Source organism: Homo sapiens, chromosome 4, assembly GCF_000001405.40.
Source record: "Homo sapiens chromosome 4, GRCh38.p14 Primary Assembly".
NCBI classification, from domain to species: Eukaryota; Metazoa; Chordata; class Mammalia; order Primates; family Hominidae; genus Homo; species Homo sapiens.
This window is the reverse complement of record NC_000004.12, coordinates 107,926,602-107,954,143: the sequence shown is the minus strand read 5'-3', so window position 1 is coordinate 107,954,143 and position 27,542 is coordinate 107,926,602. Positions and strand designations below refer to the sequence as shown.

Below are 27,542 nucleotides of genomic sequence, written 5' to 3'. Positions count from 1 at the left end.
ATTCTTCATTTGCCCAACATATTTACTGATGCCTGCTCTGCATAAGGCATCCACTCTTGGTAAGTTATCAGATATAGTCAGTCCCTGACATCCTCATGGAGTGGAGATGAGAGAGAGGATAGAAACAGAAGGTTTAAATAAACAAGGTAGTTGCAGTTAGTGATGAGGGCTCTGGAGGAAATTGGGTGATGAGATTAGGGAGTTCTCAGGAAAGGCCACTTTGGATGTCATGGTGGGTGACCTCTCTGAGGAGATGCTGTCTGAGCTGTGACTTCAGGAAGAAGAGTAGGCTGTGGAAAAAGCTGGCAGGGGGTCCCTCCACAGGCAAAATATGGTTCAAGTATGAAAAAGCTCTTTTTCCTGAGCTGGGAAGTGTGAGACCAGCACTCAATACTTGGCCACAGCAGGCTCATGTGGGCCCATCTCCTCTCAACTCAACTCATGCTGGGCTTCTACAGGGAATATAAGACACCTGGGTGGTGATGCAGTCCTCTAAGGAACTTCACTCCATGGGGAAAGTTTTAAAGAATTACCCTTGTTTCTAAGGACCATGCTTACATTCTATTGTGGACATCTGTCTTTGGAGGCCTATTTTCTTTTCTTTTTACATTAACTTGACATCTGGTAAAACAAAATTTTGCATAGCAATTAAATCAAAACAAAAAACAGACATGACACTTTCTCAGTTAAAATAGTTTAATAAAAGCAACAAAACTGTGCTAACGATGAGAATCAAAAATGAGATATTAGGTAGACTTATAAAACAAAGTATAGTTATTTTTTGATTTCAAATAAACCATGTGCAAAATTGTAAAATGCCAATGTGTCTGAGAAAAGCATTAACAGTCCTTTTAGCAATTTATATATAAAGATGTTTTTAAAGTGCCACAGCTTAAGGCATTATATTTTAAAGTTTAATAAACATCTAATTTCAACATCTCTCCAAGAACAGACTTCTTCTCAATAAGCTATAAACTATTTGGTTAGGAATATTGAAAATGCATGTATAATTTAAGGAGTAATATACTTGTTAATGCTGAGTTATTAGTGCAATTCAAAAGCATATGAATTCCATATCAAGAACAAACTCTCCCGCCCAAGGTACAGTGTAATCCACACTGTATCATCTCATCTAAAAATCTATACAGCAGCTACCCCATCCACTCAGTTCCTCTGCAGTTAGGCTATTAGCTTTTCTTTTTCAAAAAGCAAAAATTCCTAAGACACCTAAAGATTAGCCTGTATTTCATTTATCTATACGGAAAGTGCTTAGTAATATTTCTAAAAAGGAAAAGAGCAGTATGGTAGATAAAGAATGTAGAGTCAAAAATCAATCATTTTAAAATTTTTCTTCTTCCTATGATTATGTTTTGGTTAAGCAGATATTATTTTCATTTTTTGAGCTTGCAAAAGTCTGCCTAGGAATGTGCTAAATCAAAGGAAAAATCTAGCCTCATGTTCACAATTGCCCTGGAATGCCATTCCCAGACTGAGATCTAACTACACAGAGTATGGCTAACGGCAGAAGTCAGAGGTTAGGGAGATCTGGTGTCTCCATTTATCTGGAAAACAGAGCAAAGAAGGGTGATCAGTTATAGAAGGCCAAACAGAAGTGTTTTAAGTTCAGAATTTCATCTTTCGTTTAATTTTCAAAGTAACAGCCACTCTGGATCTTTTCTTGCCCTCTTCTCTATCAGTATGAACAGCGTAGCTGCTTCTCTCCTTTAGGAAAGTCAGTGTGAGGTCCCTGGATATGGCCTAGTCTCCAGGTGGTGGGAGTTTACATTCTGTTACCTATAAACAGCTAAGGCATCGTTCTAAGTTTGTTTAAAATGGTTGTTTTAAATGGTAAACACAAAAGTCCAGTGATTTTTTTAAAAACTGGCTTTAATGGACATTAACAAATAATATACACTGATTTATCACCTTTAAGCAACAAAAACATGACTTGTAATTATTCAAATAAGGTAGGATTTTTCTCTTAAGTACACTTCTTAAAAGTCATTCACAAGACAACTGGGCATCCACTAAGACCAAGGCACTGTGAGGGAGGCAAACAGCACAACATCCTCACCTCAAGGAGCTCAGCCTGGGATGAAGACAGACACACACAACTCCAGCATGAGGCCAAGGGGTAGCCTGTTATGGGATCAAGTGGTGGCAGAATCAAGAAGTGGTTCTGAAAGTGTTCTTTAGTCACAGAGACCAGTAGGTTTGAAACCCAGTGATGTTACTTTTTAACTTTGTGCCTTACCTACTATAAGCCTCAGCTTCATCCACTACAGTATGCCACCCTCTTAATAGAATTTATGTAAGAATTACAGAAACATACAAGTAAAGGATTAAGTGTAGAGCCAGCATGAGGAAAGGTTCAGGAATGTGGTTGCTCATATGACTGCTATGCTTACTTCTGTACATGGAGCACTGTGGGAGAATAAAAGAAAGGGGTGGTCATTCCTTAGAGCATGTTCTCACTGGGGGAAATCCTGGCATCTTGAGCAGGACAATTCTTCACTGTATAGGACTACCTTGACATTTAGCATCCTGGTCCCATGGCAGCAGAAGGCCAGTAGCACCCCCATCATTATGATAACCAAGAATCATACCCACACATTTCCAAACTCCCTCTGAAGGGGTTACCACCCCTGCTGAAAACTGCTTTTCCAGAGGGACCATCTACATTTAGAAACAATTTAGTTCTCTTAATAAAAAGAGAGTGAATTCTTTGAGAGTATATTCAAGGATCAGATGCATTGGGCCTGGTGGCAGGGACGCTAGGACAGGAATGTTCAGTATAGTTTGAAAGCAGAATCCTTTCCTGATGAGTCCCAGTATCAAAATCCCCATGCTCACCATTCAGGCCTTAAGTAAAAAGGTAGAGCTGCATCTTTGCAAATAACTCAGTAGAAAGGAATTCTGCCAAGAAGCTACTAAAGAAGTAGCAAGGCTCACTGTTCCTGTAGTTGTAGTAGAAGTTAGACATATAAATTTAGATAATAATCCTACAAGGGATTTTTTAAAATTATAATTTCTTTTTTCCTCAATATACACGACAGAGTCCACTTCATCCCACATCTACAAAAAGTAAAAACTAAAATCATAAACAAAAAGATAGTGACAGAACAAGCCCAAAGAAGCTGGCATAGAATCTGTGCTGAGAAAAGTTCTCCCCCAGTATAACCTAAATCCACACCCATCTCTGACAAAGCATTCCAGGCTGAACACCACTTTCATGTTGTCATAGGTCTTTAAAAGCCAGCTGATAGATCTTCTTCTCCTGAAGTTCTTCTCCAGAACTTAACAGCATTTTAGAGATATCAGAAAAGATGTAAGGCATTTGACCATCATTAGTGCTGAGAGGTAGAGAGAAGCCAAGTTTTATTACTCTCATTTTACATATGGGATGTCTGAGGCACTAAGAAATGAGAAGATTGGCCCATCGGTGGAAGCCACTGCAAGTAAAATCCAGATATCCCGTTTCATAGGTACTTTGTTTTCTATCCCCCAAATCACAGACCTGCATTACTAAAATGGCTGAAGTATCCTGCTGAGGAATCCTCCAAGATGAAACCTCCCAGTGTGCTCTACCCTCCTTCCGACCTCTGAGCCCAGCTTGGATCCACTGAGTTGCTGGATTCACTGTCCTTTGCAGTAGGAAGAATCTGCTTAGAAGGATATGTATTTATATATCTTTTTACCATCTCTTCTTGGAGATGCTCTTCATCTCCTTGAAATAGTTATATTAAATGGATGTGGGGCTAAAGTTAGACCAAATCTTCCAGTCAGGAGGGGCTTCTTAGAATCCTCAGGTAAAGCAAATGCGAAACTCTGCATTAGGCTCACAAACATTAGGAATAATTCCATCTTTGCCAGTTGTTCTCCCATACACACCCGCTTCCCTAAAAATGAGATCAGAAAAAAATGAAGGATTATAATACCATCCCTTCTCCTATTTCAAAAAGTACAAATTTATATGAAATATCTAAATTGAGTATTCTAAATGCAGATGGAGTTTTTAAGTCAAATTGCCATATATACCACATAGCCTCCCACAGCATATGCTGATCAGAATTTTTACATATCAAATCCACATTTTAACTCTTACTCATAAAAACCTATCCCCATTCTAGACAGGAACTAGAGACAGATCCAGTGTGGCAGCTATCCTGTCTCTTCTGTGCCTACTTACCTCTTTCCTCCACTTTTGCCTGGAAGATTAAGGCAAAAAAATTCAGATAAGAATCCCTAGAGCCTCCCTTTTTCCACAGAAAGAATTCTATGTTCCTAATCTAGGAACCTAAAAGAGGAACTGTTGAGATTAGAGAACCCATCCTCTCACCCACCAGACCAGATCAGAAATTGCTCTTAAGTAGCTCCCTGGGACCCCCCAAAATTACCTGATCAGCTCTGAAAGTAAAATTTCTAGTCACATTTAGAGATTTAAAACCAACTGCTTTATTAAAATCTGAAATGAACATAGGGGAGATGCCTTGTCTAAATTATTGATCCCTTCTCTTATATTAGCTTGCCAAGAAAGAAACATTTTTAAAACAACATGAAATAATAAAATATTATTTTAGTTCTACTTCTTTTAAAAATTATGCAGTTTAAAAAAGTGTAACTGACCTATCCCAAAAGGAATAAAGGTTTCTTTTTTAATTAGTTGTCCTTGGTCATCCAGAAATCGATTAGGGTAGAAATCCTCCGGTTTCTCCCAAATGGCTGGGTCTCTATGTACTGACCACAGGTTGGGTAAGATCAATGTGCCTTTAGGAATGGTATACCCTTGGAGCACTAAAACAAAAGGAAACATATGGGTGTTATTCAGTATGCTTTTACTAGTAGTTCTCCCTGAACATCATTATCTGAAAAAAAAATGTAGTTATATACCTATCACTTTAATTGGCTGAGACCAAACTGTGAGGTACTTGAGGGCAGGGATAAGATCTTACCAACTGGCATCCCTCTCCCCGCACCATTCCAGGACCCACCTGAGACAGGGAGCAGGCAGTGCTCCAATGAATGCTGAATTAATAAATAAAACCATAAAAACATTACAATGAAGAGAAAACACTAAAACAGAAACAATAGGGGATTTCAAGTAAACGTTCCCTAAAAATTAAAATTCCCAATATGTATAAAACTTAGTTTACAGGGTCATTTATGTCCATATAACAATGTAATGAGGAGGTAAACTAAGATAAAGAAATATACAGGGTAGCCAACCCTGGCTCTTACCAGCTGACAAGTCAATATGCGCTTTAAACAATGCCCAAAAGATACTATAAACAGTCTATCTAACTTGTACCAAAAAAAACCCGTTAAGTGATCCAATGTCATGTATAAGCAACGGCATGCTATAACTGTCTTAAAACTAGATCAAGCCCATTATACTATGGGCTGACTCCAGAGGTAAATTCTTTGTTAATAGGGATGTTTAAAGAGAGTCTGGACATGACCAAATAGACAGAGTTCACTGTAGATGAGAGGCTGAAACAGGTGACTTTAGAAAAAGATGGGCTCTTCTAACTATGATGATGATGATGATGATTATTATTATTATTATTGAGACAGGCTGTCTCACTCTGTCACCCAGGCTGAAGTGCAGAAGTGCAGTGGTGCAATCTTGGCTCACCGCAACCTCTGCCTCCCGGGTTCAAGTGATTCTTCTCCTGCCTCAGCCTCCTGAGTAGCTGGGACTACAGAAGTGTGCCACCATGCCTGGCTAATTTTTGTATTTTTAGTAGAGATGGGTTTTCGCCATGTTGGCTAGGCTGGTCTCGAACTCCTGGCCTCAAGTGATCCATCCTCCTGGGCCTCCCAAAGTGCTGGGATTACAGGTGTGAGCCACCGCACCCAGCCCTTTTTTTTTTTTTTTTTTTGAGACAGAGGCTTGCTCCATCACCCAGGCTAGAGTGCAGTGGTGCAATCTCAGCTCACTGCAACCTCCCAGGTCCAAGCGATTCTCCTGCCTCAGCCTCCTGAGTAGCTGGGACTACAGTTGTGCACCACCATGCCTGGCTAATTTCTGTATTTTTAGTAGGGATGGGGTTTCACCATCTTGTCCAGGCTGGTCTCGAACTCATGACCTCAAGTGATCCACCTGCCTCGTCCTCCCAAAATTCTGGGATTACAGGTGTAGGCCACCACACCCGGCCTTCTAATTATTTCATATTTATGCTTCAGCTGCAGAATTTTAAAAGTTGAAGTAAGATAATTTTCAGGCAAAATCCTTAATCCACATTTAGATGAGCTCTTCTGACCTCCATGAAAAGGAGGGAGAGGTGCCTTTGTCAATTCTGGAGCTTTTTCTGCCAACATAGCCAATTTAAATTTTGACATTATTTGTTTTGCCAGTATAATTGTGTATGCTCTGAAGGCTACAGAACTACTAGTAAAACTAAGCAGTAGTAGAATTCTAGTACAACCAGTGATGCACAGCGGAGGGCTGAACATTCCCTAGACATTTTATTACATATGACACAATGCTAAATCTTCAGAAGGATCAAGCTAGACAACAGTCACCACACCCCTCACCTCAACTACCCTGGATTAGAGGGCCCTGCTTCCGTCAAGGGCATTCAAAGAGGAAGACCCTGGACTTGCCTGTGTTCTCTGAGGTCATATGAGGAATGGCAAGCGGCACCACCACAGTTAGCCTCTGCACTTCCATGATGGTGGCTTCTGTGTAGGGCATCTGGGCCTTGTCTGTGAGGGAAGGAGCTCGGTTGGCGCCAATGACTCTTTCAATTTCTTCATGAACCTTTTCTATGTAAAAAGGGAAAAATAAACCAGAAGATAAGCATGGGACAGAGTCGAACGTGCCCTCCTCTGCATACTTTCCATCACCACTAATGCATAACTGGTCAGTTGGCAGTTCAGGCCTGATTCTGCCTCAGTGAAGTTGAAGCATTGGTCAGACATTTCAGGTAGAGACAGCTAGCCCCAGGGTGCCTGTGCCACTCTGTGACTTAGAAGTGGGATAGTGTAACAGATAGAGGGGCCAAAGAGAAAACACTCTGGATTCAGGAGCATCCTAAGTCATACTCTCATTATGAACATGGGATTGACTCTCTAAGTAGACTGTGACAACATGTGATAGCCTAAGGTGGCCCCCAATATTCCCTATTCTTGTGGTTTATATCCTTGTGCAGTCCCCTCCTACTCTGTACCAAGTTGGTCTGTGTGACCAAGAGAGTAAGGGTGAAGTGAGGGCATGTCACTTCTGAGATCAGAGTGGCTCCTCATCTTTGCCACTCTCTCCTCTCTCAGGTTGCTCACTTTTGGGGAAGGAAGCCACCAAGTGAAGTGGCCTTATGGAAGGGTCACAGTGGTAAGGAACTTGGCCAATAGTCATATGGATAGCCACCCTGGACCTGGATTCTTTGGTCTCATTCAAGTCTGCAGCCCCAGCCAACATCTTAACTCTAACTTCATGAGAAACCCTAAACTGGAAGTCATTCCTGGATTCCTGACCCTCAGAAACTGGGAGATAATGCCTGGTGGCAGTTTTTATAAAGCTAGCAAATTTGGGGGTAGTTTGCTACCCAGCAATAATTAACTAATACAGGTAGGTATAATCACATCTATAGTAGGCAGAATACGGGCCCATACAAGATGTACACACCCTAATCCCCTGGAGTCTGTAAACATAATACCTTACATGGCAAAAGGGACTAAACTGATGTAATTAACTTAAGGACACAGAGATTGGAAGATTATCCTTGGTCACCTGGGTGTGCCCAATCTAAGAACATGGGTTTTTAAGTCAGATAACCTTTCCCTGTTGAGTTCAGAGTCAGAGGAAGATGTGACTATGAACAAATGGTTACAGAGATGCAACACTGCTGCCTTCAAAGACAGAAGAAGGAAACCATGAGCTGTGGAAGCCAGAAACAGCATGGAAATTGATTCTTCTTTAGACCCTCCAGAAAGGAATGCAGCCCTGTCAACATCCTGATTTTCAGTCCAATGAGACATATATCAGACTTAGAATGTATAGAACTCTAAGAAACTTGTGTTGTTTTAAGCCACTCGGTTTGTGGTAATTTGTTATAACAGCAACAGAAACTAATAATACACCATCCTCCCTGTATTCTTCTACTCTGAACTGCCACAGACTTTCAGTATCTATTGGGACTAGGTGGTAGAACTAGCTGTGTGACCTTGTGAAAGTCACACAACTTCTCTGAGCCTCTGTTCTCCAATTTCAAAAAAACAAGATGTGTTCAGATCAGCATTATGATTCCCTTCAGCTCTAGAATGTTCTTCTCTAAAGGTCTTTCATGATCATAGATTTCACATAGAATCAGACGCGTAGAGATTTAAGCAGGGGTAAGCAAGTTATGACCTCAGTCCTACTGTCTAGAAACTTGGGTTTCACTGTTAACATCTTACCAACTCCCTATGAGTTGCAAGTATTTGTTTGCCAGCCTGAAGACATTGCTCAGTGTTAGAAGCCACCAGATCACTGAGGTTGCTAATCCTCATTTAAATTACCTGGTTTTGCCATGAACAAAGGAAACACCTATTAATTACCTTGTACATCGGGGTTCAGCGACATATACAGCAGGCACCAGAGCAAAGAGTTAGTTGTGGTATCAGTCCCAGCAATAAAGAGATCCCCAATGATATAAAATAAGTACTCTTCATCAAAACTGCTGTTACTATTATTTTTCCTCTCCTCTTCCATGTGGAGAAGGTACATGTCTATGAAGTCCTGAGGGTTCTCTCTATCCAGAGACTCTTGATGGTCTTTGATGATTTTTTTAAGGAAACTGGTTATATCCTTTTCAATTTGTCTTAATTCCTTAAATGGTCCAAAGGGAAGGTAATAAAGCCAAGGGCATATGTTGACCAGGAGGACTTGACTGTTCAGACAGATTTCTAGGCCTCGTGACATAAAACCAAGCATTTTCTTGAACTCACTATTAGTGTAATCAAAGCGCTGGCCAAAGCACAAGGAGCAAATGATGTTAGAGACGGCATTGCTGATGATGGAGAAAGGGCAGAAGGGGTCTTCTCCGTGCTTTTGCATTTCTGCTTTCACATATTTGAACTCCTCAATAATCTTGGGCTCCAAGCTAAGTTTTCCCAACCCAAAATGACGAAGAGTTGAATGAGAGAACTTCCTTTGTTGTCTCCAGACGGGACCATAATGTGCAAACACAACCCCTGCAAAGGGACACCAAGAAAGGAAGATGAGAAACAGTATTCCTGATAACACTGAACAGACCTACCACGGAGTGCATTCTGTATTTTTCAAGTCACTTATGGAAAATTCCTCATATAAATATATATATATGTATATATAAAGACCACTAGTCAAGAAGAATGATTGGCAAAATTTAGTTATCAAGATAGTATGTGTTTCTAATAATAACAAAAATCATATCTAAGGAGAATTTGCTCTAAAGCTTATTATAGTTAGTAACTCCTGGTGAAATGAAAAGCAATGAGTTTCATTTTCAAAGTTATTGTGCATTTCAAAGTATTATATTTCATAAGAGTGAATCCAGGCTTAGAAAATTTCTCAGGTGGACAGGTACAGTGGCTCATGCCTATAATCCCAGAGCTTTGGGAAGCTGAGGTGGGAGGACTGATTGAAGCCAGGAGTTCCAGACCAGCTTGGGCAACAGAACAAGACCCCATCTCTATTTAAAAAAAAAAAAAATTAGCCGGGTGTGGTGGCATGCATCTGTAAGCCCCAGGTACTCAAGAGGCTAAGGTCGGAGAATCACTTGAGCCCAGGAGTTGGATGCTGCAGTCCACTATGATCATGCCACTGCACTCCAGCCTGGGTGACAGAGCAAGACCCTGCCTCTAAAAAAAGAAGAAAAAGACAGAAAAATAATTCAGGCTATATATCCCCATGTTCTAAACACCTATATTCTAAACATTCTGAACTGAAGGATAATTATAGCAACAGATTGACATGAGGGCACAGACCATATCTCATTGTGCTCACCATTAAAATCCAGCTTCTGGCATAGTGCTTGGTACATAGGAGAGGTTGTTAAATATTAGCTGACTAAATGAATAGCCCAACTAGATTAGAACTACTGGACATCAAAATTTGGAATCTGATAACTGGCAGGTAATCTAAAATGTCTGTTGTCGGCAGCAGCCCTGATTTTAAAACATATGAACTTGTTAAGGTCATCCACAACTACATCCTATTTGATTTTCACTTATACATCCCACCATCAAACCCCACAAAATTGCTCCCAGATGTTGTATCAAATTGTTCTCAAATATTCCTTGTTTACTGTCACCTATTTCATCCTATTTTCCATGGTGTACTCTATCATTTTGGCTAGCTTCCTTCCTTCCCACATTACTTCTGAATTCTTACTATTTGCCAGGCATGGGGTGCAGTAGATACAGCTGCAAATGAAATAAAGACCCTGCTCCATGGTTAAATTTTCTCATATTCTTTAATGTCCCTTGAAAATGTCTTTCAATGTAAACATCCATGCAGTCAAACATACCAGACAATTTATCAGTTCCACTTTCCTCATTGGAATCTTCCAAATGTCTGCTCAAATCTGCAGTGGTTGCTCTGCAGGCCTTTGGTTCAGGTGCTATGACTTCTATTAGTTATCATTTGGGAATTTTCTTCTGTGTCAGAACCCATTTCCTGAATTATATTTCTTCCTCTTTGTTTTACTCCCCCATTTTGCTGAAGCACATCCTCTAGTAGCTTCTGAGAAAGGACGCATGGGAGGCGAATTTCTAAAGATTATGTGTGATATTTATTTTACCATTGGACTTCCTCAGAATTTTAAAGACATTGCTAAGACTGGACTGACTGATAAGTCATAAGATATGTACATATTCAGTATGACTAGACATTGCAGTTTACTCTCTGAATTGGAGAGTACTCTGAAAGCGTGTTCACAGAAGTGTTTAAATGTTCTCATTTGTTCAGAATAGTTGCCATCACTTGATACTTGTCAATGTTTTAGTTTTGTCAATCAGAAGGCTGAAACGTATCTCATCGATTTTTATTTGCATTTCTCTGATTGTTACCAGTGGGTCAGAGCAGCTTTTTATACGGTTATTGGCCAGATTTCCTATTCTGTAATTTGCATTTATCTACTGTGCAATTTTCTTTTTCTTATATATTTGAAATGCATAGCAGATCTTTTATCATCTGATTTTTTAAGTTTCTAAATGGTATTATTTGATAAGCAGAAGTTTTAAATATAGTTGGATTTATCAATCCTTTGATTTGTGCTGCATATTTTAGAAATCTCCTCCTACCATGGGTTCATAAACACATTCTCTATTTTCTTGTAAAAATTTTAAATTTTGTTTTCACATTTAAGTTTCTATAATCTACCTGGAATTTATATTTGTGTTAGGTATTGCTACCTATTGTGAGGTAGGAATCCAAACATTTTTTCCCTATGTAGACAACCTATTGTTCAAGCATGATTTGTCAAAGGGTCCCCACTCTACCTCACCCTTCACCACCAATCTGTAATGCTGTCTCTGATACACATTTCCTATATAGGGGTGGGCCAGTTTACAGGCTTTCTAGTTGGTTATATTGGTCTATGCGTTTATCACTGTGCTCAAAGCACATTGTCTTAATTACTGTTACTTTATAATAAGATATAAATAGTCTTTATAGTAATTTTTATATCTAATAGGGAAGTCCCCTTTTCCCTACAAAACCTCGTTCTTTTTAAAAACTGTTTCAAAAACTTCAAAATCAGTTTCTCAAACTTATTTAGGATTTTGGTTGGAACTGCATTTAATTTCTTTTTCCTTTATTTTATTTTTTTTAAACACAGAGGTCTGGGGGATCCACAGAGCATAGGAGGCATTTGCTGAGGTGCAGACAGTGGGTGGAGGAGCCTAATAGGTGGTGACTGGCAGCTAAGTTGTCTCCTGGGAGGGCTTGGGTTCACCCCCAGGCCCCATCCCCAGTCTGAGACTGTTTGTCTCTGGATGTGGCCACCAAGACCCCAGGAGAGGCAGAATTTCTGCTGGCAGAACTTGGCTTGGACGCTCACTTTGTAGCGTCTATGTCTCCATTGTCACGCAGATACACTTCATTTCTAGGTTAATTTGAAAACTGCCTTCTTTATGATTATTGAACTTGTAATCTAAGAATGAATCTAAACTTGCTTGTTTTTAAATTTCTTTAAAAAATTGCTGGATTTTGTTTCGTAATGTAAGCTTTTTAAAAATAGTATATTCACGAATGACAATGGCTTATAAGTTTCCTTTCTCATGCTGTATTTGTCTTGAATATACTGGCCTCCTAAAACAAGCCAGGGTGTAGTCTTTGTCTCTGAAAGAATTTGTCTAAAATTGGAACATGTTCCTCTTTTCCTTTAGGTTCTCTTTTTATTATAATACATAATGTTTGCCATCTGACTCATTAATTTTCAGACCTCTATCTTAATAAATAATTTAAAGCTCTACATTTGCCTCTGTCTGGGTACTACTCTAGCTGCAGTTCACAAGTCTTGTTTCCATGTATTTTCATTATTTGGTTTTAAGTAAAAAAAAAAAAAAGTTTCTATTTTGAGTCTTCTTTGCTACCTTACCTGGTTTATCTTATGCTGATATTTGACATTTGACATTTGCTTGCTTTTTTACCCTAGTATGTGGCCAATGAAATTTCTAAATAAAGTTGAGAAGAATGTTTGTCCAAGTAATTTTGAGGAATATGTCCTCTCTATATGTCCAATAGAGAAAGCTTGATAACGGTCAAAGCCAAATTTTCTGTACCCTTAACAAATTTTTAACTGCTTGATCTCTCAACCAGATACTTATATTAAGCTATTTTGCTATAATGGTGGATTTATCAGTTTCTCTTTACAGTTCTGTAAGTTTTTGCTAAAGGTAGATAAATATCAATGTAGCTATACAGATTTATATTTATATATATATATGCTGTTAAATACAGATATATATTAGATGACATTGTTAGGTACATTCAAGCTTAGAATTCTATCTTCCTGTTTTTTAAATTTTTTAAAAGTGGATCCATTTATCATGAATGCCCTCCTTTTTCTTAACAATAAAGTATCACTTAGAGTACCTTTTGTCAAAAAAGAACCACTTTTCTTTTTAAAGTATTTTCTTAGTATTGTAAAACCTTTTCATTTTGAACTTTTCTGTACCCTTATGTTGGGGGAATGTCTCTTTTTTGGGGAAGATAGATTATGTCTCTTAAAACAACATATAATTGGATATTAAAAAAATCCATTCTGGCAAGCTGTCCTTTAGCCAGTAAGTTTAGTCCTCTTACATTTACTCTAATTACTAATATCTAACATACTATTCTGAGATTTGTTTATCTGCTTTATTCATTCTTTTCCCCCTTCCTTCTCATCTTCCTTTAGGTTGAGACAAACAGGGTGAATGTTCACTCTTACATTTTTAACACGCTTACTTAAAGTCTAGTTGAGTGGTTGGCAAACTACAGCCCAAAGGCCAAATCCATCCTGCCGCCTTTGTACAGCCAGAGAGCCAAGACTAGCTTTTACATTTATAAATGGTTGAAAAAAAAACCAAAATGTTATTTTGATACGTGAAAAGCATATGAAATTTAAATCTTTCCTTTAGTGTAAAATCAAGGGGCAAAAAGATCTATTTATAGATCTATTTACAGATCATGAAATTCGAATTTCATGATCTATAAATAAAGTTTAACTGGAACACAGCGGTTCATGATGTAAAAAAACTAATTTGTTTACATACGTTCTATGGCTGTTTTTGCATTAAAATAGCAAAATCTGCCGGGCATGGTGGCTCATGCCTGTAATCCTAGCAGGTTGGGAGGCCAAGGTGGGAGGATTGCTTGAACCCAGGAGTTTCAGACCACCTTGGCAACACAGTGAGACCCTGTCTTTAAAAAATAAAAAAAAAATTTTAATTAGCTGGGTGTGGTGGCTCAAGCCTGTAGTTCCAGCTACTCGGGAGGCTGAGGTGAAAGGATCACTTGAGCCTGGGAGGTCAAGGCTGCAGTAAGCTGATATCACGCCAATGGACTCCAGCCTGGGTGACACAGTGAGACTCTGTCTAAAAAAAAAAAAAGGAAAAAAAAGAAGAAATGGCAGCGTCAAGTATATAGTTGCCACTTAGAGTAGGGGTAGGAAAACATTTTCTATGCTAAGGTCCAGGCCAAGATAGACAAATGTCCTTGTTTTCTTTTGTCGGTGGCCAGGGTTGTTGAGTGTTCTCTGTCAAACTTTCACCCAGTTGAAGCACTTCAAGAGTTCTGTCTTTGTCTAGAAGCAACTTTTCATTTTGCCAGGCCATATCTCTTCCCCACCCCCCATCCCCCAGCCAAGGCTCTCTAGATCATCTACCTACTATTTTCTGCAGGGGTGGGGGCAGTGATAAGGACCTGATCTTATTTTATGTGCATTCCAAACTATCCTTGTTCTCAGTCTACTGGCTCATTTCTGTCTCCTATGATCACTGGTACCTCCAATTTCTAACCCGTTTTGAGATTCTGCATGGTAAACTAGGGGAGTAGTTCTCATTCTGTCCTCTCATACTCCACTGGCATTCCCCTCTGTAGATGCTTAAGTGTAGTCATCCTCCACTCTATTAAGTCATTTGCCAATCATATAGCCACTTTGTCTTCAGATGTTGTGGTGCAGAAATGTAGATGTGTCATTTCATTTCAATGTGGATAGAGTGTGTTCTTCTGTTCAACATTCCTCTGGTATGGTATGTGATTGTTGAGACAAAGAAGGAATGGAAATGTCTTAACCACTCCTGAAACCAGAACTCTCCTTTTGTGTAATAAAGGCCCATAAACTATTTCCTAGGCTACAAAAGTTTAATCATTCCTCCTGTCTTTAACCATGACCAAGTCTTCTGCTGCAGAGTATTCAGAGGCCAAGTGTTGGTGGGCCTCCTCTTCTCTTGGATAGATATGGTCTTCCACACCAGCTTCAGGATTTGATACCAATCCCACCTACCCTCTCTCCCTATTTTTATTTATTTTTTTGAGACGGAGCCACACTCTGTCACCCAGGCTGGAGTGCAGTGGCGCGATCTCGGCTCACTGCAACCTCCGCCTCCTGGGTTCAAGCGATTGTCCTGCCTCAGCCTCGAGTAGCTGGGACTACAGGCGCATGCCACCACACCCGGCTAATTTTTGTATTTTTAGTAGAGATGGGGCTTCACCATGTTGGCCAGGCTGGTCTTGAACTCCTGACCTCAGGTGATCCACCTGCCTCGGCCTCCCAAAGTGCTGGGTTAACAGGCATGAGCCACCGTGCCTGGCCCTCTCCTTATTTAATATATCATATATAGCATCTCTGCTTTGTCCTATTTATCAAAAAACATTATTTTTCCTTTGTTAGGTCCTCGATCTTATCATCTAACCATTTTTAAACTACAAATTTGTATTTTAGAAATATTTGGTCTAGCAAAATGGCTCCGAAGCAAAAATCAGGACTCTTTTGCTTCAGAATAACAAAAATATACCCTCAAGCTAGTTCATCAAACAGGCCAGTTAGGCTATGGAATGAACAAACAGGAAGGAAAGGGTATTGCCACCTCAGGGAATACTGTCACAGAACTCTTCCTCCCTGTACCTATTTTTCCCTCCTCTCTCTCTGACTTCATTCTTTCCAACTGCAAACCAGCTTTTCAATGAAAAATGAGCTATCCTGAGATGCCTATTTTCCCAGTTTCACCACCAAAAGGAAAAGCCCTCTATTTTCTAGATTCAACCTGAGAAATTCTGGGGAAGGATTCAAATGCTTCAGTAAGGTGTCCTGCGGTGATACCAACTTGAGATAACTTAAATTTATTTTATGGCTTGAGGTTTCTAACTATGCCATGCTATTCTTATCCCAAAACTATGTGAGGATTGATGTATAGTTGTGAATTGTTGAGTTCTGTGCCTGGCCTACAGATTAACCAGTTACAAAAAGGTTAGAAATTCTGATCAGTCTACTTTTGGTCAGTATGTCCCTCAACTTACTTATCACTGTGGCCAAGAAGGTGAGTTTATGTAAAGATATGGCATCTGCCGTTCAACCACAGTTAAGGGTAAAAGGGACTGAGGTCAGAAAAAAGGAATTCCTCAGAAGAAGCAGGTATTCTTGTCCAAGGAACAGGTGCTAGACAGTGGAAACATAAAAATCCAACTCAAACCAAATAAAGTATAGACTAAATTGACATTGATACATTCTCACAAACAGATATTATACAGCTCCTAAGAACTTTACAGGAGAATATTTAATAATATGAAAATATGCTCATAATACTTTAAGTGATAAAAAGCAATTTTTAAAATTATGAAAATTATTCCATTTTAAGGAGGCAAATATATTTCTAAAAATACATGTACATGGGCCAGGCACGGTGGCTCACGTCTGTAATCCCAGCAATTTGGGAGGCTGAGGTGGGCGGATCATGAGGTTAGGAGATCGAGACCATCCTGGCTAACACAGTGAAACCCCCTCTGATAAAAATACAAAAAATTAGCCAGGTGTGGTGCAGGCGCCTATAATCCCAGCTACTCAGGAGTCTGAGGCAGGAGAATGGCATGAACCTGGGAGGCGGAGCTTGCAGTGAGCTGAGATTTTGCAACTGCACTCCAGCCTGGGCTACAGAGCAAGACTCCACCTCAAAAAAAAAAAAAATACATGTACATGTAGAAAAAAGACTGGAAGGTGATACATGAAAATGTCAATACGATCTCAGTCTTTACCTACTGAACAGAGGATGTTGTACACTGATTACATTTACCCTTTTCTTCCATAGGATCATAGAAGTGTTCCTATTAGGGAGAATTCAGGCCGTCTCAATGTGAGTGCATAACTATTTCAAAATCATTTCAAATACCTATTTTATTACATACTCAGTTAACTTGTTTCCCTATTCATTTTCAAATTCCCCAGATGAACTTTCATTTTCTGTTTATCTTCATTTCCTAATTTCATTTTGCATCTTGTTCCCCTTTGAGGTATATATCAGACTGATCTATCCCATACTTCTAAAATTCTTCAAAATTTCTTTTTGCCTTCTATTTTTATGGCTTTACAACTTGCTTTGACTCTTGCTCCAAGTCTCCAGTGATATTATCCGAGCCATATCAGGTTTTAAGAGTCAAATCAGTGTTTCTTTTTCTACTTTCATGACTAGTGTCCTACAAGCACTTGTGGTAGCATAGTTTGTAAGAGCAAAAAAATGCAAAATTTACCTAATTTTTATCAACAGTGAAATAGAGAATATGATACCATTTTATTCATTCTATTTAGTGGAATACTGCATAATACGGTTATTTTAAATAGCAAAAGCTAGTTAGAGAAAGATACTTTAAGTATCCAACATAGGCAAGTTTTAGAAGAACATACCAAATAAAGCTATGTGTTATTTATAAATCTGAAGCAAATCTGAGCTGCAGATAATCAAGTTTATACTGTTCTTTAAGCTTTATATTTGAATATTTTAAAATAAAAATGTGATGTATACAAACCTTTTAGAAGAAACAGATCACATGTCTTACCCTGTTTTGTGTTGCTATAACAGAATACCACAGGCTGGGTAATTTATAAAGAACAGAGATTTATTTCTTACAGTTCTGAAGGCTGGGAAGTCCAAGAGGATAGCACTGGCATCTGGCAAGGGCCTTCATGCTGCATCATCCCATGGTGGAAGGCAGAAGGGTAAGAGAGGATGAAAGAGAGAGAGAGAGAAAGGGGGCCAAACTCATCCTTCTTCTCAGAAACCCACTCCCACAATAACTAACCCACTCTGGTGATAACAGCACTAATCCATTGATGAAGGCAGAGCCCTCATGACCTAGTCATCTTTTAAGTTCCCATCTCTTGACACTGTTGCATTAGGGATTAAGTTTCTAATACATAAACATTTGGGGACACCTTCAAACCATATCAGCACACTTAAGAGTGAAACGCTCCTTTGGTAGCCTTAGCTCTGATTTTGTAATTTTCTTTTCTTTTTGTGCTTAGGAAAAGAATCAATCAGAATGATGGACACAGCATCTTTATGGCCTATCTAGTTTACTGTAGTTTTTATGGGCTTAAGAAGAAGACCACCTTGTCTAATCATGAAATTTTGAAAAATTTAAACATAAAAAATAAAATTCCTACATTCTGGAACTTTTCAGCAAATGTATTAAGTCAACTATTTCTAGCCTCTCTTTGCGTTATGAAACATACCCTTCTCTGCTATTCTCACCAACTTCAGCAGCAAAGTTCTTTCAAAAAATAATAAATATTCAATAATGTTATTGGCCTCTAATTCCTAACATAATTTCTTTTCTCTTATGGCCTACACATCTTGTTTCTGGACAGTATCACATTTACTCCTTTGCTACTGGGCACAGTAGCCAAAGATGGTTTGAGCTGTCCTCAAGTCTTGCTGAGCTGAGCATCTTGACTGTAGTCACAGTGGCCTCTTTTCTTCAGGCTGATAATGCTGTCCATTTCTTGATCTGGGAAGTCCACTCACACCTCATCTGTTCCTTCATCCTTTGATGATCATCTTGAAATAAATTCACATCCTCCCTTTTTATTCTTCACTCTTGAAAAAGTTCTATTAAAAAAATCCTCTGCTAGCCACACTTTCTTATTCAGATGATCTGTTCTTTATTCCATGTTAACTCCACAAGCATTTACTTCATGCCATATGGTTCTTGCCTTGCATTATCTTGTCAACACCTTCTCTAGCCACTGAAATTTCTCTCATTAATTCTTTTACAGCACATTCACCCAAAACATACCAGAGCAGCATTGCCTAAGAAAATCCTGTCTCTTGGGGGAATAAATACTTTAGTTGAGATACTACTGAAGCACCAAATTGCCTCCAGGCTCCCAGCCCTTTTCTAAATAGAGATTTAATAGTAAGCAGTCATCCAACTAATGCTTAGAAATGACCTTGTTATAGATTCTCAACCAAACAGTAGCCACCAAGAAGCACTCTGATAAACTGTTTTGTTAAGAATTGGAAACTACACTGTTGAGATCTCAAAGAAGAAAACCTAATTCCTACCTTAAGAAATCCAGAGGAAGAGACAGACACACAAAACAAATTACAATAAAATGTGATACATACATCAATAGATGCTTGTATGCACGAATTCATTCATCTTTTGGTTCTCTATTCTGTGCCAAGAAGTAGGGATACAGTGGTTAACAAAAGAACAAAATCTCTGCCCTAAAGAAACTCACATTCCGTTGAGAGGTGGGAGTGGTCATAGGCTAAATACTTGCCAGTGTTTACTGAGAAAAATATGAATGAGATAAAATAAGAGGTGGTACTGGGCATTGACCAAAATAGCACTGAAAGGTAACAATTGGCCTGAGAGGCCTGAGGGATGACAAGCAATCAGTCAAGTAAGAAGTTATTCCAGGCCCAAAGAAGACAAACATCGTACCTTGAGGCAGGCCCAGGCATGGCAGAAATCAGCTTAGTGTGTCTAGAGTAGGAAGGTCAGGTTGAAATGTACAAGTGAAGGCAGAGCTAAAAAAGAGAAAGGCAGCAGCCAGATCCTTCAGGCCATAGTAGGTCAAGTAAGGAGTGCAGAGGCAATTGGTTTCAGCCAGAGAGCTACAAGATTTGATTCATGGTTTATGTAAGAGATACTTTTGGCTGCTCTGTGGATGAAAATCTGGAGCGGAAGCAAGCAGGTCGGTTAAGAGGCTTCTAAAGTATCAGCTTAGAAATGATGGTAGCTTTAGAAAAAAAAGAAAAATAAATAAATGATGGTAGCTTGGATGAGGATGCTGACAGTAGAGATGGAGAAAAGTAGATGGATGTAGCACACATATCTGCTGTAGGAGTCAGTAAGACTTATGGATTGATTAGAAGGGACTGGGAAGGTCTTAAAATGAAACAATGGTATCATAGAAGTTCATCTCCTTCTGCAGGGTAGGGAAGCATCTCAGGGTACACATTCTCAAAGAGGTAACATTTAAGCCCAATCTTAAAAGCAAGTGTGAAAAAAAAAAAAAAAAGAAGTGTTGGTGAGGACGTGGAGAAATTGGGACCCCTGTGGGAATGTAAACTGGTGCACTCACTGTAAAATAGTATGATGGTTCTTCAAAAAATTAAACCTAGAATTACCACATGATCAAGTAACTCCTAGGGACTCAGATATTTGCCCCCTTCTATTTATAGCAGCATTATTCACAATAGCCCAAAGTTGGAGGCACAAGTGTCTATCAATGGATGAATGGGTAAACAAAATGTGGTATATACAGTCGACCCTCCACATTTATGGGTTCCACATCTGTTGGTTCCACCAACCGCAGATCAAAAAAACACATCTGTACTGAATGTGTAGACTTTTTTTCTTGTCATTCCTTAAACAATACTGTATAACAACTATTTACAAAGCATTTACATTGTAGTAGGTATTATAAATAATCTAGAGATGATTTAAAGTATCCAAGAGGATATGCATAGGCTATATGCAAATACTACACCATTTTATATCAGGGACTTGAGCATCCTAGGGTTTTGTTATTCGCAGGAGGTCCTGGAAGGAATCCCCTACAGATAAGGAGGGATGATTGTACATATGATGGAATATTAGTCTTCAAAAGAAAATTTTCACATATGCCACAACATGGATGAACACTAAGACATTATCTAAGGATTTTAAATGAGTAGGGATAAAGATCATAATACTTTAAATGCCCCACTGAAAAACAAATGTCACAGTTCACACCTCATCCACTACATGCCTTCGTAATACTGCTTCTACCTAAAATTCTCTTCTGAGCTCATGGGTGCCTGGAGAAAACCTACCTGCTTTTCTTTTCTTTTTTAAAAATTGTGGTGAAATACATATAAAATTTACCATCTTAACCATTTTTAAGTGCACACCTTAATGGCATTAGGTACTGTCACACTGTTGTGCAACCATTGCTACCATCCATCCATAGAACTTTTTTCATCTTGCAAAACTGAGACTTTCTGTCCCTATGAATTTCACTACGCTAGGAGGCACCTCATATAAGTGGATCATACAATATTTGTCTTTTCCGTTTAAAATCCTGATGCAAAACTCTGGCTTTATCAGATTCTGAAAAGCCTAGATCTTTCTTTGCCATGTTATAGGGGCAGGAAATAGCATTCATTTAATAGATACTTGAACTCCTACTATGTTTCAGACAGCAATGACTCTGTCCTCCTAGATGTCAGAACAGTGGTGAAGACTGACATCCAGGCCCAAGGTCATAAAGTTATGTAGCGTCAGTTTTGAAAAGTGTAGTGAAGGAAAAGTGCTTGGGCAAGGGACCTGGTTCTAACAAGGGAGGCTACCCTACTTGCAGAGGCTGTGAGAAAAGGCTTCCCCAAGGAAAAGGCATTTAACACCTGACTGATGCGTAGGAGTGACTCAGAAAAGAAGTCAGAGACCTAAGCCAGCCAGTAAGACAAAGGGGGACGGTAGAGACAGGTTAGATTGGACATTTTATTGCAGCAGATAACACGTTTTCCAACCCCCAAAAATGTCCAATTTAGACTCCCATACGCAGGAATCAGAGGCTATGAACCAAAGCCGGAGATTTGGTAATAGGCTTCTTCTGTGTTTTCTGGACTTTTTATCTTATTGGAAATTATCTTCTTAAATTCTTACATTCGAAACCCACAAGGTAAAAAGAATATCCTTCCCTCTTTCTAACATGGGGGCCAAAGTTTCTCTCCGAGGTCACAGCTGGTGGAAGGGAAGGCTACTTTTGGAAAGATGGAACCTGGCTTGCCACCTTGTCCTTCCGCCATCCCTATTACTCTCCCTCAATCTCCGGATGACTTTTCTACTTATGATCTTGGAGTATGAGCAAGTCACGCGTCCGTCACTACTTGATGGGATCTTAAAGGCATCAGAAAGGAGAAGCGCCGCCACCACCATCACCTGTTAGTTCAGGATGCAGGTGTGAGGCAGCCTGGGGGCGCGGGCGGCCGGAAGGGGCACAGGAACTGCAGCCCCCACGCACCTGGAGACTCATCCGCGGCATCCGCGTACCCACAGCCCACGACCTCCCGCTCACCCTTCTCCTTGGTCACGATGGAGATGAGCGGCACCCGCGGGCGGTCGCTGAAGACCTCGGCCTGCTGCACCAGCGCCTCGCGCACGCTGTGGAAGTCGCTGAGGACCACCACCAGGTAGTGGCCGATAAAGAAGCTGAAGATGCTGCCGTACACGCGGGCTAGGTGAGCCAGGAGCACCTGCGGGCCTATGACCGAGGGATCAATCCCTGCGGCCCTGGTCCTGCTGCTCAGCCAGCTCCGCCGCCGGAGGAAGGGAGGCAGCAGCACGTGACCGAAGTTGCCCACCAGAGGCCAGGGCGTGGGCCCGGGCGGGATGCCCCGCGCCCGGCGCCTCCGCAGCCAGCTCCAGCCCAGCAGCGCTACGAGGCCGCATAGCAGCAGCGCGCCCCCGCTGGGGTCCAGCCGCAGCAGCCCCAGAGGCGCACGCAGGAGGCGCGCGGGCCAGGGCGGGTCCTCGGCCGGCGGCTGCGACGGCCCCGGAGACGACATGGTCCGGGCGCCGGCGGCCTCGGGTTCCCCTTGCTGCCTGGAGGAGACGCGCACGCAGCTGCCTGACCCGCGGCGCCAGTGTCCTGCTCTGCTCTGGAAGGTCGGGGGCGGGCAGGGGGTGTAGGAACGCCCCCGGATTGGCTGCGCCGCGCGCATTCTCCCCGCCGCCGCCACTCAGCGACGCCTGGGCGGAACCTGGAGGCGCGCCGGCTGCCTGGCGGAGGGGGTTGGCGGGCTAGCAGGCGGGGGACCTGAAGTTTGCCCCGAAGTCCGGTTACGACCCTTTGCAGGGTCGGGCTTGGCGGTGACTGTCCCTGAAACTGGGATGCTGGCAACACAACCTTGCGCTCTGATTGGCTGTTGGTTTCCCTTGTGTCATTCGTTTGTCATTATCACTCGTTTGTCAGTTGACAAACACAAACGCATGGTTATGAAGTGCATAAACCGTGTTAGGATCTGTACTGAGTGTGGGAAACTGGTGAACAGGCCCGTGAGATGGGTCGGCCTTAGCACCTGTGCCCTGAGCTGGGAGAATGGGGTCAACGCCCTATTCCTGCATGCTTCGGTGTAGTAGTGAAAAGACGGGGTTCCTTATCTAAACTGGGATTCGCAGCACCCTTTCCTCCACGCAGAGACAGCAGGATGCTGGGAAGCCGTGGAATGCAGAATCTGTGGGTGTCGGCTTGGCAGCCAACTCTGCGGAAGGGATGATGGCGGGAGTGGGGGGAGCGAGGGGCGGGCAGCGAGGCACGAGGAGTCACGTTCTGAGAGCTTGCCCTGGGCTAGAAAACTTATGCGGAGAGCGAAAGCTGTGTCCATTCCTGCGTGTGGCCTGGGTGCATTAGAAAATGTACTTAAATCCAGAAATAGCGAAACCAGAATTTGCTTGGTGGATTTAAGTAGCTAGAAATATGAAAAGAAGATAACCGGTTGAGGGAGGGGTGGCAATATTATTATTGGTGTTAGACAACACTTGAAAGGCTGAGGTTGAAATATTAGATATGAATTGTATAATACTTTAAAAACAAAGTATTACTTTATTTTATCTTCTCAGATAATGGCTTTCCTGATAAGGGCTTCCCTTTCAGTCTTGTTTAGGCCAAATCCTGTAGTTTCTGTTCAAGTTGGATTGAGCATAGAATTGTCTGTACTGGGCCATTTTTCTAGCCGTTTCATTTTTCTCCATACATTAAAAGTTTGAACACCACGCTGTACCTATAAAAATGTGATCAAAGAAAGCATAGTGAGTCCTCAAATAAATACATGATCCATTTTATTTTTCTATAAACAAGTGATGCCAGTAGGATATGTTAAATTTCAAGTCCACTCTGTTCTCATATTCTTTTTGACATGCTTTTCATGTTATTTTAAGCTTATGCACCCCAAACAAAAAAAAAAAACCTCCACACCTCTCATCTTCTATAATTAACCACTACTTGTGAGATTACTTTTCTCATTTTTTTTGAATTTTTGAATTAAGAGAAGTTTTTAAAAATTTAAACTACTTGTTTGCAGATACGATCTTCAACATGACATTCTGGATGTCATCTGATTCTAGGGCTTTGCTCTCTGAAACAGTAGCCACTATATACATCATCCCATACAAGCAATTTAAATTCATAAATGATTTTAAAATAGTTGAAGCTGTGACTAATTTAACAACTCCAACAGCCACCCTTTTATATTGTACAGGATGTAACTGCACGTGTAGTGTTTTCCTAAATCTCTCATTTTCACTAGGTTAATAGCTGTGCGGGGCAGATAGGAAATCTGGGCTGAATTCAGCCTCTCCTCACCACTATATGTTGAAGTCCTAACCCCCAGTGCCTCAGAATAAGACTGTATTTGGAGAAAGGGCCTTTAAAGAGGTAATTAAGCTAAAATGGAGTCCTGTGGATGGGCTCTTACCAATATGACTGGTGTCTGAAGAGGAGATAAGGACACAGAGAGGAAAGAGGATGTGAGGACACAGTCAGAAGGCAGCCATCTACAAGTCAGGAGAGAGGTCTCAGAAGAAATCAACCCTGCTGACACCTTGAGTTTTGACTTCTAGTCTCCAGAACGGTGAGGATATAAATATAAATTTCTGTTGTTTAAAACATCCAGTCTGTAGTACTTTGTTATGGCTGCCCTAGCAAACGAATACAGGAAGGGATATTGTTCATAATATTATGGATACACTTTTATTTTATTATTATTATTTTTTGCGATGGAATCTCGCTCTTTCGCCCATGCTGGAATGCAGTGGTGTGATCTCGGCTCACTGCAACCTCCGCCTCCCAGGTTCATGCGATTCTCCTGTCTCAGCCTCCCAGTAGCTGGGATTACAGGCCCGCACCACCACGCCCGGCAAATTTTGTATTTGTAGTAGAGACAGGGTTTCACCCTGTTGGCCAGGCTGGTCTAGGACTTCTGACCTCAGGTAATCTGCCTGCTTCAGTCTCCCAAAGTGCTGGGATTACAGACGAGAGCCACCATGCCCAGCTGGATGCACTATTTTAAACATGAAACCACACAGCTCATTCAGTGCTCCTTAAGGATGAATTTCCCCAAATTACATTCAGGGCGATTTTGCCACATAAAGGAATACTTTCTGCTTCATCTCTCTTATTTTATATAGGTAAAAAAATAATAGCAGAAGCAGTAAAGGAAGAGAATACTAAGAGATCTTTTGGGTGGGCAGAAGTGGTAAGAAAGATAGAGGATTATGGGAAAAAATCATTTTTATTGAGACCCTAAAGATAATTTTAAACCACCCACTTTCCTACCTATATCCTTGTTCGACATGGATTTTGGCCGGAATTGTTGGTCACAGTATATCCAAAATAGCTGAGTACTTATTTTGTTATAAAGAGTGGTATTAAATTACTCTATTTGTAAAACTACAATTGTTCAGTTGGTTTGTAATTCTCTGGGAGGTAAATGCCACCACACACGACACCCATCCAGAATCAATGAGCATGAACAGAGAGAGTGCATGGCTTAAGAAGGGTTTGCAAAATGCTAATGAAAAGAGAAAGTAGAAATGTTATTAGCACTATTTAGTTGCACAACTCCACTGGCCATTTAAAAATTAACACCTTTGTTCCCTTTAAGTTCTTATGATTTGCTTCATATATATTCCGTTGAGTGTCTTCTATATATGTGTTTATGTACTCTCTGAGCCTCCATGTTCCTGAACTGAAATTGGGATGATAAATATACCTATACCAAGCATAGGGATTAAATAAAATAATTAAATAATAATAATTAAATAATAGCACAATGTCTAGCAACTAGTACTCAATACATAAAAGCTGTAATTATAATAGTTATCACTGGGTTCTTGATAATAGTTTAAACTTAATAGGTTGTCACTATTGCTGCCTCTTATTCACACCTTGCAGATTTACCAGCTTTTTCCAATATTAGAATGTGAGACTTGCCAGGATATTGTTTCCTATATTTAGCCTTTATGTCTTGTATAATGAATAAATAAACGTGCCTATCTTCAGTATTACTTCATTCCTCTCCACTTGCATGTATTATGTATGATTTACTTGGAGAAGAGATGACGGGAGAAAGGCCCCTGAAAAAAATCTAAAACAGTGTAAGGCAGAATCTCAAAAGTCACAAAATCCAATTCCGAAAACATCCCTTTATTTGGTCAAGGTGGTGCCAGGATTAGGACACATTTTTTATTTAACACCAAAATGAACACAATCCAGATGTCCTTCAACAAAAGAGGGGGGCAGGGGAAGGGGAAACTATGGTATACTTATTTGATAGCTCACTACACCACAATAAAAATCAATCAGTTATGACACACTCTACAGTGTGGATAAATATCAAAAAACATGCCAAGTGAAAAAGCCAGGCACAAGAATACATACTAAATAGCTGCATTTATATGAAGTCTGGAACAAACAAAGTGAACCTATGGTGATAGACATTAGAACAGGGTGGATTGTTTGGAAAGGGAAATTGAAAATTTTTTCTAGGGTGGTAGAAATGTTCTATATCTTGACTGAAGTGTTGGTTACTTGGATGTATGCACTTGTCAAAACTTAACTGTGCATTTCACTATAGGTAAATTATACCTCAGTAAAACAATTTTTTTAAAAAAGCCAGTATCTTGGCGAAAAAGACATGGTGAAGTAAGAAGACTTAGCAGGTTTAATTTATGAGATGAATCTATTGTGAGGTGGGTACCCACAGGAACAGTTAGTCACTTTAGTTAGCCTGGCCACAATTGTTACTGATTCCTGACATTTTATTTTTGTGTACGCCAAAGCGTTGCTGAATTCTCTGTTCCTTATTTCTTCCTCATTTACTTCCATTTACTATGCAGAAATCATCGTGGAAACCACATGGGGACCTCTGTCCAAATCTAACTGGGTTGGCCAGGCTATGCTGTTAACATTTCTGATTTGTTTTCTTCATCTGGTCAAAAGAGAGAGTTATAACACAAGGACTCTTAGATTCCTCTGGTCTCTAACATTCTTCTTAAGTGGATTCTTAGGACTTTGACTTTGGCCTCTGATTAACAGCATGCTTAGTCAATAAAATCTGAAAGAATAAATTATATTTACATGGCAAAGTGTAAGCCAGTTACTTCAATAAAACTAACACAAGGGGGTTGGGCACGGTGGCCCATGCCTGTAATCCCAGTACTTTGGGAGGCCGAGGCAGGCAGATCACTGGAGGTCAGGAGTTCGAGACCAGCCTGGCAAACATGGTGAAACTCCGTCTCTACTAAAAATACAAAAAAAAAAAAAAAATTAGCTGGGCGTGGTGGCACATGCCTGTAATCCCAGCTTCTTGGGAGGCTGAGGCAGGAGAACCGCTTGAACCCTGGAGGCGAAGGTTTCAGTCAACTGAGATCACACCACTGCATTCCACCCTGGGCAAGAAAGCAAGACTCTGTCTCAAAAAAGAAAAAAAAAAAAAAAAACTAACACAAGATTGTTACCTCCTGGTTTAGGTAACTGTGCTTGGCCCTCTGCCTAATAATGAAGTCTTATTTCTAAACCTCACTGAGAATGAAGTTTTAGAAAGAAAGG

General features: G+C 40.4%; 1 protein-coding gene and 4 long non-coding RNA genes across 7 annotated transcripts in view, besides 5 other annotated features; 4 read left to right on the top strand and 1 right to left on the bottom strand.

The window, feature by feature from the left end:
- The window catches only part of LOC107986298 (uncharacterized), a 75,213-nt gene that overhangs the window by 24,780 nt on the left and 22,891 nt on the right, over positions 1-27,542 (top strand). The gene's annotated exons all lie outside the window — the stretch shown is intronic.
- Positions 683-22,595, bottom strand: CYP2U1 (cytochrome P450 family 2 subfamily U member 1). 3 transcript variants are annotated; one of them, XM_005262717.2, is made up of 5 exons: positions 21,957-22,595; positions 8,539-9,174; positions 6,607-6,768; positions 4,627-4,794; positions 683-3,899 (listed from the first exon to the last, which is right to left on the bottom strand). In XM_005262717.2, the coding sequence occupies exons 1-5, from the start codon at positions 22,498-22,500 to the stop codon at positions 3,721-3,723; spliced, it is 1,689 nt and encodes a 562-aa protein (XP_005262774.1). In that variant the 5' UTR covers positions 22,501-22,595; the 3' UTR covers positions 683-3,720. The 3 variants fall into 3 exon arrangements, with proteins under 3 accessions (XP_005262774.1, NP_898898.1, XP_005262777.1); NM_183075.3 differs by having other exon boundaries at positions 22,011-22,595; XM_005262720.2 differs by lacking the exon at positions 8,539-9,174 and having other exon boundaries at positions 22,011-22,595.
- Positions 16,619-18,125, top strand: LOC107986299 (uncharacterized). The gene is made up of 3 exons (XR_001741785.3): positions 16,619-16,797; positions 17,571-17,657; positions 17,964-18,125. It is a non-coding gene; the product is annotated as an uncharacterized LOC107986299 (long non-coding RNA).
- Positions 21,858-21,927: an enhancer, noted in NCBI's record as "active region_21792". NCBI's record gives its function as "activates an Ori minimal core promoter by ATAC-STARR-seq in GM12878 lymphoblastoid cells {active_cell/tissue: GM12878}" and the evidence as "EXISTENCE:reporter gene assay evidence [ECO:0000049][PMID:35858748]".
- Positions 21,988-22,057: an enhancer, noted in NCBI's record as "active region_21791". NCBI's record gives its function as "activates an Ori minimal core promoter by ATAC-STARR-seq in GM12878 lymphoblastoid cells {active_cell/tissue: GM12878}" and the evidence as "EXISTENCE:reporter gene assay evidence [ECO:0000049][PMID:35858748]".
- CYP2U1-AS1 (CYP2U1 and SGMS2 antisense RNA 1) overlaps positions 22,025-27,542 on the top strand; it is a 68,641-nt gene continuing 63,123 nt past the window's right edge. The window contains exon 1 of the long non-coding RNA NR_125929.1: positions 22,025-22,173. This is a non-coding gene — a long non-coding RNA (CYP2U1 and SGMS2 antisense RNA 1). The remainder of the gene's footprint in view (positions 22,174-27,542) is intronic.
- Positions 22,268-22,857: a silencer, noted in NCBI's record as "silent region_15613". NCBI's record gives its function as "represses an Ori minimal core promoter by ATAC-STARR-seq in GM12878 lymphoblastoid cells {active_cell/tissue: GM12878}" and the evidence as "EXISTENCE:reporter gene assay evidence [ECO:0000049][PMID:35858748]".
- Positions 22,268-23,225: a biological region, named in NCBI's record as "H3K4me1 hESC enhancer GRCh37_chr4:108852075-108852582".
- Positions 22,559-25,999, top strand: LOC124900751 (uncharacterized). Its single transcript, XR_007058221.1, has 2 exons — positions 22,559-23,171; positions 24,241-25,999. It is a non-coding gene; the product is annotated as an uncharacterized LOC124900751 (long non-coding RNA).
- Positions 22,718-23,225: an enhancer, noted in NCBI's record as "H3K4me1 hESC enhancer chr4:108852075-108852582 (GRCh37/hg19 assembly coordinates)". NCBI's record gives its function as "activates a minimal SCP1, AML or CMV promoter by ChIP-STARR-seq in naive and primed H9 embryonic stem cells {active_cell/tissue: H9 hESC(naive and primed)}" and the evidence as "EXISTENCE:reporter gene assay evidence [ECO:0000049][PMID:30033119]".